General features: G+C 38.5%; 1 protein-coding gene across 22 annotated transcripts in view; it reads right to left on the reverse strand.

Annotated features, from left to right (window-relative positions):
* CEP112 (centrosomal protein 112) overlaps positions 1-14,904 on the reverse strand; it is a 556,597-nt gene that overhangs the window by 286,805 nt on the left and 254,888 nt on the right. For all 22 annotated transcript variants that reach the window (XR_007065281.1, XR_007065280.1, XR_007065282.1 and 19 more), the window contains one exon: positions 5,241-5,348. Coding sequence is in view for 19 of the 22 variants with exons in the window: in NM_001353128.2 (NP_001340057.1) it covers positions 5,241-5,348 (108 nt within the window). In the remaining 3 variants the exon portion in view is untranslated. The remainder of the gene's footprint in view (positions 1-5,240; positions 5,349-14,904) is intronic.

Here is a 14,904-nt window from a genome sequence, read left to right on the forward strand (position 1 = left end):
AATTTTATAAGGAGAGTTACTCTTTGCCTAAGATATCTGCTTCAATTATTTCTTCAATTACTTTTTTAACTCAAAATACTTTTTATTTAGTCAAATGCATTTCAATTTTCCTTGGCGTTTTTTTCTTATTGTGTCTGACTTTCAAAGTCAGTGGTGTGCCAAAACAATTACAAAATAAATGCAGATCAGGTGCTGACATCATTTGGCCACACTTGGTTATAAATTTGTGACCCATGTGATTATCATCAAAATGAGAATATAATTTTAAAACTCCCACAGAGAACTCTGCAACATCTTACACTCATCCTGTAGTATCATAACCTCTGACTAGCATTTGTGTTACATAAAGAGCTTTAAATTTGGTTTTCCCTTCTCCCCTGTTCCTTCCTCAGTTTACTTAGAGGAACTGACATTTTTCTTATTTTTCTTAGTGCTTCTAATATTGTTTTTAATACAAAATTACCTCAATTATACTTTGTAACTATAGCATAATAAAAAGTAACATTCATTGCCCTTCCTTAATATTTTTATTTACATTTGATTATTACCTCTGTTTCCCTCTTACCACCCCTTCCTCCCCAATTCCAGCCTCCAATTCTTCATCTAGTTTTCTAAACCTAGTTTCTGAAACCAGTTTCCAAGCAACTTCCCCCATCACTAAAGTTGTGGAAAACATCCTCCATGGCACTTCAGATAACAGTGTATTTCAGGGGAAATACCTATTTTTAATTTAGCATGTGTCAGAACGACTTTCAGTTGCCATCCCATATTAATCGGAAATTAACTACTTCATTTTTATATAAAACCATTTTTTTAAAAAAAAGAATCTGATAGAATAACTCCATTGCACCGGCTTTTGCAGTTAGAAAGTCTGAAGTTATCCATACTTTGGCACTGTTGAAAATGATCTGTCAGCTCTATCGTCTACCTTTTCTTCTCTTTTAGGCTTTTCATTTGTTGGTCATTTTTTACATTGCATATAAATTGTCTGAATTTATTTTCTATTTCATTAATCCAAATTTATTACCCACTTAAAATGTTACAGAATATAATATAGACCAGGCACGGTGGCTCAAGCCTGTAATCCCAGCACTTTGGGAGGCTAAGGCAGGAGGACTGCTCAAGCCCTGGAGTTCAAGGTTGCAGTGAGCCATGATCATGCCACTGCACTCCTGCCTGGGAGACAGAGCAAGACCCCATCTCTAAGAAAAAATATATATAATATAAATGCTCCAAAATATTATTCCATTTTAATGTTTCTTAGCATTCATAATTTTAATGTTTTACTTATCCAAGTAATGCATAACATATGATCATTATGAAATTTGAAGTAAAAAAGTTTTATTTAGAGCATACAATGAAAGTCTCAGTTCATCATAACCCTAACCCATAATACCAGGCCAATTCCATAGTCATGTATAATCTTACAGAATTTTTTCACTGAATTTACATATCTAACTTTGAGACACATATGTTTTAATTTTACTTCAATGGGATCATAATATACAAAGTGTTCTAAAAAGCGCTTTATTCCCCTCACCAATATGTCTTAGAAATCTGCATATGTTGGCACCTTCAGATTTATATTAATCTTTTTAATAAGTATATAGTATTCCACAGTAGGTATTTAGCATTATTTATTTATTTATTTTTGAGACAGAGTCTCGCTCTGTCACCCAGGCTGGAGTGCAGTGGTGCGATTTTGGCTCACTGCAGACTCCACCTCCCAGGTTCACACCATTCTCCTGCCTCAGCCTCTCGAGTAGCTGGGACCACAGGCGCCCACCACCATGCCCGGCTAATTTTTTGCATTTTTAGTAGAGACGGGGTTTCGCCATGTTAGCCAGGATGGTCTCGATCTCCTAACCTCGTGATCCGCCTGCCTCGGCCTCCCAAAGTGCTGGGATTACAGGCATGAGCCACCGTGCCCGGCCAGCATAATTTATTTAATCATTCATTTTATTCATAACTTTTTTCAGTATTACAAATAATCCTCCCGAAACATATGTGAACATGCATTTTTTTGCACATGTATAAGTATTTCTATAGGATAGGTTCTAAGAAATAAAATTTTGGGATTAAAATCTATATGAATTAGTTTTTTTGGAACAATAGAACATATATATCCTACATATGAATATGTATATATAGAGTGTACATATTCACATGTGCATATGTGTCTGCATACATGCACACATGATTTTTAAAAATAAAATGGTAAAGATCATCTTCTAATAAAAAGTAACAGGTCCTTGCCCCATCCCACTCCTGTACTGGTGGCAACTCTTTTAAAACATGTCTGTGCTCCTTTCTGTGGTGATTACTTCCCTACCTCTACAAAATATGCTACATAGCTCTTTCTTAATTTACCAAAGCTAGACATTCCTTATAGGCCTTCTACTAGGACAAATGGGGATTTAGCTCATTTACACTCCCTTGCTGCTCTCTCCCACTCCTGTCACCATTTTACTAGTTACTCCACTCCTCTCACTTCCTCCAGTGGTCAACCCTGTAATTAGGAATATACTAAAGCCTCTGTGTTTTGTTTCATGATACGGGCAGCTGCTCAAATCCACACTTCATGATAATACCTCAGTACTCTCACCCTTCCCCTCCCAGCCCCTCCATCCCTTTCTTCCACTTCCATACCTACACCGTCTTAACCTTTACTGTTACAATAGCAAGGCTGGTGATATGGTTTGGCTGTGTCCCCACCCAAATCTCACCTTGAATTGTAATAATCCCCACGTGTGAAGGGCGGGACCAGGTGGAGATAATTAAATCATGGGGGCAGCTTCCCCCCGTACTATACTCATGGTAGTAAATAAGTCTCACAAGATCCGACGGTTTTATAAATGGGAGTTCCCCTGCACAAGCTCTCTTGCCTGCCACCACATAAAAGGTGATTTTGCTTCTCCTTCTGCCATGATTGTGAGGCCCCCTCAGCCATGTGGAACTGTGAGTCCATTAAACCTCTTTCCTTTATAAATTACCCAGTCTTGGGTATGTCTTTATTAGCAGCGTGAGAACAGACTAATACAGTTGGTAACATCTATGTCCTGTTCTGTAACCCTAAGCTAGTTTTTAAAGCTGAAAACAATAAATGTCATCTAATTATTATGTCTATGTATATACTGTTCACTGATGAATATTTTGTCTGCTAAGACTACATTTCCTTTTCTACTGGTCCAGCATCATAACGCCTGTGCTGCTTGATGAAGAATGTGCCTTTAAAATCCAGTTCCAGCATTTTCTACGTTTTTACATTTTCTAAGTTTGCAATCGTAGTCAGCATGGTAAATTGTTTTACGCTAACCCCATTTGATGGTCTTCTCTGTGATACTCCTTCCAGGCGGAGGATTACACCAGGGAGGCCATGTTTGCTTTGGCCAATAAAATGTGAGTAAACTTACTTCTGAGTCAATTTTAGAAGACAGCAAATGCTCAAAATATTTCCTTTTCCATTTCCCATAGCAATGTTCCAGATAGTTCATTCTAAAAACGACTCAAGATGACATGACATGGGTCAGAGCTGCAGTCAATCCTCAAAGGACACGTGACATAAGTATGAAATAAGCCTTTTTTGTTCTAAGCCACTGAGGTTTAGGATCATGTTTACCAAAGCAAAACCAAGCTAAAAATTAATGGTAATCTTAAGTATTCTGGGAATAAGCAGAAATATATTTTTAAAAGAAGAAAATAAAACTTTGTATTACTAAGTAAGAGGCAGAGCACTGACGACAAAATCTCAACTCCTTACACAAACCGGTCCTAACCTCCCTCTTTCCCTTCATCTCCTACAGCAGGAACCTTTCTCCCCATACTCTGGCTAACCTGGTCTTCATCATCATTTATTTTCCTTGAACACTTCCAGCTTGCTCTCTTCTCAGGATTTTTGAACGTGCAGTTCCCTCAGACTGGAATACTATTCCTCCAGAGCTCATGGCTGGCTCCTTCCTAGTTTTTAGAACTCAGCACAAATGTCAGGGAAACCCTGATCAGTTATTCAAGGCTATAATCTCCTTCCCACCCTCCACCTGGCAAAGGCTATAAAGGTACCATCTTTTCTTCTTCATAAGTCACTCTTCAGGCCGGGTGTGGTGGCTCACACCTGTAATCACAGCATTTTGGGAGGCTGAGGTGGGCAGATCACCTGAAATCAGGAGTTCAAAACCAGCCTGGCCAACATGGTGAAACCCTGTCTCTACTAAAATTACAAAATTTAGCCGGACGTGGTGGCGTGTGCCTGTAATCCCAGCTACTTGGGAGGCTGAGGCAGAAGAATCGCTTGAACCCGAGAGGTGGCGGTTGCAGTGAACCAAGATGGCGCCATTGCACTCCAGCCTGGGTGAGAGAGTGAGACTCCTTCTCAAATAATAATAATAATAATAATAATAACTCACTCTTCAAAATTATTTCACTTTTTAATTTGTAGACTGATGACTCATCGAAAAGCAAGCTCCATGAGAGAGGAGGCATGTTCTCTCTGTTGCTGTTCTCCCTCATGCCAGGGACAGCACCTGGCACATAGTAAGTACTCAACCCTATTTCTCAAATAAATGGAGGTTTAACTAGTGCTCTGACAGGATAGAAGAATGACTGATATTGTTAGGATACTTGTTCCCACCCAAATCTCATGTTGAAATGTAATCCCCAGTGTTGGAGGTGCGGCCTTGTGGGAGGTGTTTGGATCATGGGGGCGGATCCGTCATGAATGGCTTGGGCCATCCCCTTGGTGATAAGTGAGCTCTCACTCTGAGTTTGAGTGACCTGGTCATTTAAAAGTGTACGGCACCTCCTCGCTTCTCTCTCTCTCTCTCTCACTGGTTCACTTGCTGGTTCCTGCTTTTGCCATGTAAGGTGCCTGCTTCTGCTTCCTTCTGCCATGATTGGGAGCTTCTTGAGGCCTCTCCAGAAACAGAGGCCACTATGCTTTCTGCACAACCTGCAGAACTGTGAGCCAATCAAATCTCTTTTCTTATAAACTACCCAGTCTCATCAATTATAATCGATGTTTCAATCAAACATTCAGATAAAACAAACAGTCAGAATAAACTTCAGTGGAGTGTTAAAATTCTGTTTATAGATTTTATTGAAACAAACATTATTTTAAATATATTGGTAACAACAGCTCTTAGTAATATTTTCATTATGCAGATATTTTGTGATAGTGATTTTTAAAAGATAAATCATATATGTATTTTAAAAATTTAATGGCAGCATCAAAATGAAAGACCAACCTGTTGTTCATACCGCTGTCTGATGTCCTCCAGTTGCCATAAAAACTCCTTTGATTGTTTCTCACGAAGAGATTTGGATCTAGTTAGATCTGCCTCCACTTTTTCCATCTATAAAATTTAAAAATCAAATATTAATTTTTTAAACAAACAATTGTGTTCCATGTTTTTGTAATTTGTCCATTTGTTTAAATGACAGATTTTAAGCACCTCACCAATAATAATGATGAATTTAAATGTATTAAAATAATGAGACATTTATCAATTCATTTTAATATATTTTAATTATTTAAGGAGGGAAATTAAAATTGGTATATAATTGACTAAATTCTAAAATTACAACAATAATGCAGTGAAAATATAATTTAAGGCATTCTAATATTTATTGAACAAAATTTAATTAAGCCCTTGGTATGTGCTGAATGAGATAAAATATTTCCAAATCATATCTCTAATAAGAGACATATCTTGAATATATAAAGAACTCTTATAGCCCAATAATAAATGGATAATTAAACTCAATTTTAAAGTGGGCAAAGAGCCTGAATAGATATTTCTCCAAAAAGATATACAAAAGGCCAAAAAGCATTTGAAAAGATGCTCAACATCACTGTCTTTAAGCAACTACAAATTAAAACAAGAATGACATATCACTTCATGCCCCAAAGAATAGCAATAATAAAAAAGGACAAATAGTAACAAGTATTGGTAAAGACGTAGAGAAGTCAGAACCTTCAACACTGCTGCTGGGAATATAAAATGGTATAGACATGCTGGAATACAGTCTGTCTGACAATTCCTCAAAACATTAAATAGAGTTACATGTGTCCCAGTAGTTCCACTCCAAGGTAAGAAATGAGAACATACATCCACAAAAAACTTTGTCTACAAATGTTTATAGTAGCATTATTCATAACATCCAAAAAGAGGAAACCACCCAAATATCCATCAGTTGATAAATGAATAAACAAAACGTGGTATATTCTTACAGTAGAATATTATTCAATCATAAAAAGGAAAGAAGTATTAATACATGTACTCTGGGAGGCTGAGGCAGGAGGATCGCTTGAGCCCAGGAGTCGGAGACCAGTGTAGGCAACATAGTGAGACTGTGTCTCTACAAAAAAGAAAAAAAATTAGCCGAGCGTGGTGGCATGGGCCTACAGTCTCAGCTATTCGAGAGGCTAAGGCAGCAGGATCGCTTAAGCCCCAGAGGTTGTAGCTGCAGTGAGCCATGACTGCACCACTGCATTCCAGCCTGGGAAAAAGAGTAAGATCCTGTCTCAAAACAAAAATTAATTATAAATAGAAAAAAAACTAACACATGTTATAACATGGATGAGCCTTGACAGCATTAAGCTAAGTGTCACAACAGACCACATACTGTAGGATTCCATTTATATTAAATTTCCAGAATAGGCAAATCCATAGAAACAGAAAACAGATTAGTGGTTGCCTAGGGTGAGATGGTGATCTGGGACGGTAACTGTTAAAGGGTATGGTGTTTCTTTGGGGGAAGATGAACATTTTCTAAAATTGATTGTGATGATGTTTGCATAACATCCTGAATACATTTTTTAAAACCACTGAATTGTACACATACGAGTGAATTGTTGGTATGTGAATTTTATCTCAACAAAGCTGTTATTAAAAAAGAAAGCGGAAAAAGGAAAAGTCAAAGATTCCACCACACCCATGAGGCCTCACATAATCCAATCCCAGTGACCTCTCACAGCTCATCTCTACTGCTCTATCCCACTACCACCACCACAGTCCACCTACCTGCTGCCCAGGCCTATAATGTGTCAGAAGTGCTCTCACCTTGTGGGCAGGAGGTTCTGCCTGATATTCACACAGTTTCTTTCTCAAAGTATTGAGGCTTTGTTTAGCATCACCTTTGTACTGAGACCTTCTAGACCACTCAATTTTAAATTGTACATTGCAATTCCCCAGCCACTAAGTCCACCTAGTCCCCCTATCCCTGCTTAGCTACCCTTTTGTTCCACAGGATATATCACCTTCAGATTCACTATATAATCTACATCTTCATTAGGGCTGTTTGTAATGTCTCTCCTGCAGTGTAATGTCACCCCATGTTCACTGTCGTCAGTGAAATAGTATCAACGATTTATCACAGTGCCTGGCACATACAGGGAATCAATAAATACTAATCAAATGAAAACAAAGATTGCACAGTGTACCCAACTTGGTTCAAGACTTGCTGAATTTACAATTTCCAACGTTTAGTTCCAAATTCTTTAAAACACACACAAAATAAATAAAAGCATGTTGGATCTAACTTTTTCTATCACTTTGTCCATGTTATGATCAGATGCAATGAGAAAGAGATGTTCTTACAGTCATGAAAAAGCTCTCCATGTCAACAACATGAAAATGGTGCCTTTTATTCAAAGCAATGCAGTATTTTACTTGTCTTTAAACCCCTGCACATTTGGGTATAACTTAAGACAATATTTTTTGTCTGAGGCAATTACCAGCTAACGTGGCAACCATTCTACCACTGGCTACTTTATATTACTTATTATTCTGCTTCACTGGTATATGGAACTACTTGTACTTTGTTCAGCTTGTACACAATGCCTTCTTTCAGGTTACCTTTTGGTAAGCACTAAGATTAGTTAAGACACGAATATTGGAGGAAATGAACTATGAAAAATGCTTCTTTCACAGTTTTTCACAATATATTTGAAAAAAACATTTCAATGCATTTATTCAGACATGATTAGACTTTAAGGTTCTAGGAACAAAGATGTTCAGTGAAAGGCAACGAGTTTCACTGCATGAGAACAAAATGCATATTACCACCCACTACTGTGTCTAACACCACATTCCAGTTTCTGGTTCTTACATTGAAGTTTGAATGCCCTCTAGATTATAGCATGCTATTTAGCACCCAAGTATTTCTTTGTAAATACCAAGGATTGCAATCCCAAAAATATTAAGTCATCAGTGTAAAATTCAATTAGAGTTCTAAGATTACTGATTCATAGATAATTAGTATTGTGGTCAAGAATAAATTTAAGGAATGATTAAAGGAAGCACAGTCAAGCACACTTTGGTTTTTTGTTTCTAACTCAAGACTTTGGTTTCAAGACTCTCTTTCTTTCAGTGCTTTTCATATTGGACCTCAAGTGAGATTCTCCTTAATCTGTCCTCGGCAATCCAGACTCCAGTACCCTTGATATTTTCCAAGCAAGCCATGGCTGTTCTTGACTCTAGGGCCTTTTGCCCATCATACTATCAGTAGGTCTTTTCATTTTTTTTTTTCATCCAGTCAGTCTTTTCAAAGTTGACTCAGGTTTTCCTTCTTCTCTAAGGTGTTCTTTAATCCCACTAACTGAATAAATGCCTTCCTTCTCTCTATGCTCTAGGACTTAACATCTTTATTCTTCTAGCACATTGTGTATTTCTCTATAAAATGGAAATGTTTCAAATATGTAAGCTTTGTTTAGTAATGCAGATAATGAGCCCACAAATAAAAGAACTATGGCAAGTCTTTCTTTTGTATATTTATTAAATAGCTGCCATGGTATGCGAAGTAAAGATGTATTAAATTCTTAAGGATGAGGAGGAGGGACATCAGCAAGATGGTAGAATAAAAGTTCCACAGCTCCAGTCTATCTCATAGAAATCCAACTAGCAACAATTCACAGACAAGAAAACCTTCGTGAATATTCCAGAACATAGGAGTGAGGCTGACACATGCTCTTGGATTACAGAACTAACAAAAGTCACATTACAAAAATAATAGAAATGGTTTCACGTTGACTGTATCATCTCTCCCACAAACCACCATAGTGCCACACAGAGAGGATTCCCCTGGGCCCATGGTTTCTACAGTGGGAAAGAGGTGAACATCCAGCTTTCCCAGCATTCCAAGATGTTTGGCAGGAGGCCCACTTCTGCCTCGCCTTAAAAGGAACATTGGGAGTATTAGCAGGGCTAGAACATCTGAGATCAGCTATAAACAATGAAGGGAAAATGGAGCTCACAGCAACCTCTGCATTCTGGCCAGTGGAGGCACCCAACCAGAGAGAACAACAAATAGCATCACTGAGCAGGAAGCACAGTTGACAGATCTGCCAAGCTCAAGTCCCTAGCCAGATTTGCCACCCAGCCTCAGAGCTTGGCATACTTCCCCAGGCTCAGAGGCAAGCCCAGATCCCTGCATATCTGCAGAGCAGAGCATGTAGTCCAATACAATCTTAGCAGTGATTGCCCCTGTCTAGTGTTGGAGCCCAGCCTGAGGTGCAGGCAGGGAGCCAAGCCCAAAACTACACATAATTGTGGGCATAGCATCTAGCTTTGCCCATCTGAGTGGCTGGCTGAGCAGCAACCCCAGAGACCTTGACAGCATTGGAGTCTGACCTTCAGCCCTGTCCAACTACAGATTTCAAACATGAGTACCACCATGCCAGGGAACCCAGCCTGCAACCCTGCCTAATCAGAGGTTATCACAGAGCCCAGCCAGCAGCTGTGCTTGATTATGCAGCCTAGCCAATGGTCTCACTGGACTGTGAAGCACAACCAGGAGCCACACCTGACTTCATATAACAGGCAGCAGCCCCTCGTAACTAAAGAACCCAATAGCAAAATCTGCTTGCTCATGGTCACTATCAGCTGGTCCATCCAGAATCTTAGGCTAGACTAAATATTGAAAGTGTCCATCCCCACCAAAGGACATCTACAAAGGCCAAAAGAGGAAGCCAATTCATCAAACGTACAGACATGAAGGTAAGTACACAAAGATTACAAAAAAAATCAAGGAAATATACGCCACAAAAAGAAACTAAGAGAGAAAGCTCCAACAATGAACCCTAAAAATATGAGGATCTATAAAATGACTGACAATTCAGAATATTCCTTCTAAGAAGATCACGGATGTATTAGTTTGTTCTTGCATTGCTATAAAGCCCTGAGAGTGGAATTTATAAAGGAAAAGAGGTTTAATTGGCTCACAGTTCAACAGGCTGTACAGGAAGCATGATGCTACCGTCTGTTCAGCTTCTAGAGGGGCCTCAGGAAACTTACAATCATGGCAGAAGGCAAAGGGGGAACAGGTGCATCACATGGCTAGAGTAGGAGCAAGAGAGAGTGAGGGCGAAGGTGCCACACACGTTTAACAACCGGATCTCATGAGAACACCCTCACTTCCACGAGAACAGCACCAAGGGGATGATGCTAAATCATTCAGGAGAACCCGCCCCCATGATTCAATCACCTCCCGCCAGGCCCAGACTCCAAAACTGGGAATTACAATCTGAAATGAAATTTGGTTTGGGACACAGATCTACACCGTATCAATAGAATTATAAGAAAATATGGATAGAAAAGTAAATAAAACTTGGAAAACAATATGCAGACAAAAGAATTAGTTTGACAAAGGAACGGAAATTATTTTTAAAAATAGAAATCCTAGAGATAAAGAATACAATAACTAAACTGAAAAATTTTATTAAAAGCTTGAACATCAGACTCAAACAAATAGAAGAAAGAATCAGTGAGTTCAAAGACAGGACATTTAAAATTATTGAGTCACAGGAGCAAAAAGTAAAAAGAATAAAGAAGGCTTATGAAAATTATGGGACACCATCAAGAGACCTAACTTTCACATAATAGGAGATCCAAAGGAGAAGAGAGAGAGAAATGCCCCCCAAAAAAGCATATTTAAGAAAATAATGGCTGAAAGCTTCCCAAATCTAGAAAAACATGTCAATATCCAGGGACAGAAGATTCAGAGGTTACAATCGAATTCAACCCAAAGACAGTTCACGAAGACACATCATAATCAATTATCAAAAATCAAAAACAAAGAAAGAATTCTGAAAACCAAAAGACAGAAGATACATATCACATACAAGGGAGTTGTAACATGGCTATCAGCAGATTTCTCAGCAGAAACCCTGCATGCCAGGAGACAGTGGGAAGATATATACTCAAAGTACTGAAGGAAAAAAGCTGTCAATCAAGAATACTCTACCTGGCAAAGTTATCCTTCAGAAATAAGAGAGAAGTAAAATCTTCCCGCACCTCCATCTTCCCCCGAAAATGAGGGAGGTCATCACCATGAGTCTTGCCTTACAGGAATTATGAAAAGGAGTTATTTAAGCTGAGAAACAGTCACTTTCATATGCTAATAACATAAAACATATGAAAGTAAAAAACTCAATGGTATAAGTAATACATAGTCATACTCAGAAGACTTTAGTGCTGTAAGTATGGTGTGTAAAGCAATTTTATCTCTAGTATGATGCTTAAAAAACAAAACTTTTAAAAGCAACTATAACTGCAATAAACTGTTAAGGGAGGCCAGGTGTGGTGACTCATGTCTGTAATCCCAGCACTTTGGGAGGCTGAGGTGGGCAGACCACTTGAGCTCAGGAGTTCAAGACCAGCCTGGGCAACATAGTAAGACCCCATCTCTACTAAAAATACAAAAGTTACATGGGCACAGTTGTGTGTGCCTGTAGTCCCCGCTACTCGGGAGGCTGAGGCACGAGAACTGCTTGAACCTGGGAGGCGGAGGTTGCAATGAGCTGAGATTACACCACTGCACTACAGCCTGGGTGACAGACCAAGACTCTGTCTCAAAAAAAAAAATTGTTAAAGGATACAAATTATAAAAAGCTGTAAATTGTGAAATCAAAAACATAAAATTAAGGGAGAATAAAAGTGTACAGTTTTTATATGCAATAAAGTTATTATCATCTTGAAGTAGCCTGTTATAAGTAGAAGATGTTTTATGTAAGTTGCATGGTAACCACAAAGTAAAAACCTATAGTAGTTGCACAAAACATAAAAAGAAAGGATTCAAAGCATATCACTACAGAAAATCATCAAACTGCAAAGAAAGATAGCAAGTGAGGAAGAAAAAAAGAACAAAGAATCTACAAAACAACCAGAAAATAAATTACAAAATGGAAGTACTGAATCCTTACCTATCAATAATTACTTTGAATATAAATGAACTAAATTCTCCAATCAAAAGACATAAAGTAACTGGATAAATAAACAAAACTCAACTACATGTTTCCTACAAGAGACTCATGTCATGTTTATGGACACAAATAGACTAAAAGCGAAGGGATAGAAAAGATATTTCATGCAAATAGAAATGAAAAGAGAGCAAGGGTAGATATATTTAAATTGGATAAAATAGAGTACATTAGTCCATTCTCACACTGCTATCAAGACATACATGAGACTGGGCAATTTATGAAGGAAAGACATTTAATTGACTCACAGTTCAGCATGGCTGCGGAGGCCTCAGGAAATTTACAATCATGGTAGATGGCAAAGGGGAAGAAAGACACCTCCTTCACAGGGCAACAGGACAGAGTGAGTACAAGCAAGGGAAATGCCAGATGTTTATAAAACCATCAGCTCTCATGAGACTCACCCACTATCAAGAGAACTGCATGGGGGAAACCACCTCCATGATCCAATTACCTCTACCTGGTCCCACACTTCATACGTGGGGATTATGGGGATTACAATTTGAGGTGAGATTTGGATGGGGACACAGAGCCAAACCATATCATAGAATTTAAGTCAAAACTGTAAAATGAGAAACAGAAGGTCATCATATAGTGATAAGGGGCTCCACTCATCAAACGGATATAACAATTACAAACATATACATACCCAATATAACAGCACCTAAATATATAAAGCAAATATTCATAGATATGAAGGAAGAGATAGACTGTAATACAATAACAGGAGAGAACTTCAGTACTACACTCTCAACAGTAGACAGATCATCCACATAGAACATCAATAAGGAAACATCAGACTTAAACTACACTTTAGAGCAAATGTACCTAAAAGACATTATGCTCAGCATTCCATCCAGCAGCAAGAGAATACACTTATGTCTCAAGTACAACATGAAACATTCTGCAGAACTATGTTAGGCTACAAAACAAGTCTTAACAAATTTAAGAGGATTTAAATAATATAAAGTGTCTTTTTCAATCACAATGGTATGAAATTAAAAATCAATTAACAGGAGAAACCTTGGAAAATTCACAAATATGTGAAAATAACATAATCCTGAACAACCAGTAAGTCAAAAAAATCAAAAGAAAAATTAAAAAAAAACTTGAGACAAACAAAAACGGGACACAGGATGCCAAAACTTATGGGATATAGCAAAAGGAGTCCTACAAGGGAAATTAATGGCATTTTTTTAAAAAAAGAAAGACAAACCTCAAATCAACAACCTAATATTATACCTCAGAACTAAAAAAAAGGAAAAATGAACTAAGCCTAAAGTTAGGAGAAGGAAGGAAGTCATAAAGATCAGAGCAGAAAAAAATGAAATAGAGACTAGAAAAACAATAAAAAAGATCAATGAAACTACGAGTTGGTTTTTCAAAAAAATAAAATTTACTAAACATTAGCTTGACTAAGAATAAAAGAGAAGACTCAAATAAATAATATCAGAAATGAAAGGGCAGACTTTAAAATCGATAATATAGAAACACAAAAACAAGGGAGAATTACGAACCACTATACATCAACAAATTGTATAGCTGAGGAAACAGATGAATTCCTACACATATAGAACCTACCACGACTGAGTCATGAAGAAATAGAACATCTGAACAGACCAGCAATGACTAAGGAGACTGAATCATTAGCAAGAAACTTCTCAACAAAGAGAAGCTCAGGACATGATGAAAAAGAGAAGCTTCTCAACAAAGAGAAGCTTCAGCTCACTGCTGAATTCTACCAAACATTAGAAGAACTAATATCAATCCTGCTCAAACTCTTCCCAAAAAACTGAAGTAGAGGGAATATTTCCAAACTCATATCATAAGGCCAATGTTACCCTGATACCAAAAACACACAAGGACACAAGGAAAGAACATTACAGGCCAATATCCCTAATGAACATAGATGCAAAAATCTTCAATAAAATACTAGCAATAAAAAAACAAAACCCAGAATTCAACAACACATTAAAATGATCAGCTAACCACGATCAAGAGGAATTTATCCCTGGGATGCAAAAGTGTTTCAACATATGCAAATCAATAAATGTTAGACAACGCATTAATAAAATGAAGAATAAAAACCACATGATTATCTCAATAGATGCAGAAAAATCACTTGCCAAAATTCAACATCATTTCATAATAAAAACTCTTAACAAATTAAGTATAGAAAAAAAGTCTCTCCGTCTACCTCTCCCCCTCCCCCTCCCCCTCTCCCCACGGTCTCCCTCTCCCTCTCTTTCCACGGTCTCCCTCTGATGCCGAGCCGAAGCTGTACTGTACTGCCACCGTCTCGGCTCACTGCAACCTCCCTGCCTGATTCTCCTGCCTCAGCCTGCCGAGTGCCTGCGATTGCAGGCGCACGTCACCACGCCTGACTGGTTTTCGTATTTTTTTGGTGGAGATGGGGTTTCGCTGTGTTGGCCGGGCTGGTCTCCAGCTCCTCACCGCGAGTGATCCGCCAGCCTCGGCCTCCCGAGGTGCCAGGATTGCAGACAGAGTCTCGTTCACTCAGTGCTCAATGGTGCCCAGGCTGGAGTGCAGTGGCATGATCTCGGCTCGCTGCAACCTCTACCTCCCAGCTGCCTGCCTTGGCCTCCCAAAGTGCCGAGATTGCAGCCTCTGCCCGGCCGCCACCCCGTCTG

The sequence above is a fragment of the Homo sapiens genome, chromosome 17, assembly GCF_000001405.40.
Source record: "Homo sapiens chromosome 17, GRCh38.p14 Primary Assembly".
In the NCBI taxonomy this organism is placed as follows: domain Eukaryota; kingdom Metazoa; phylum Chordata; class Mammalia; order Primates; family Hominidae; genus Homo; species Homo sapiens.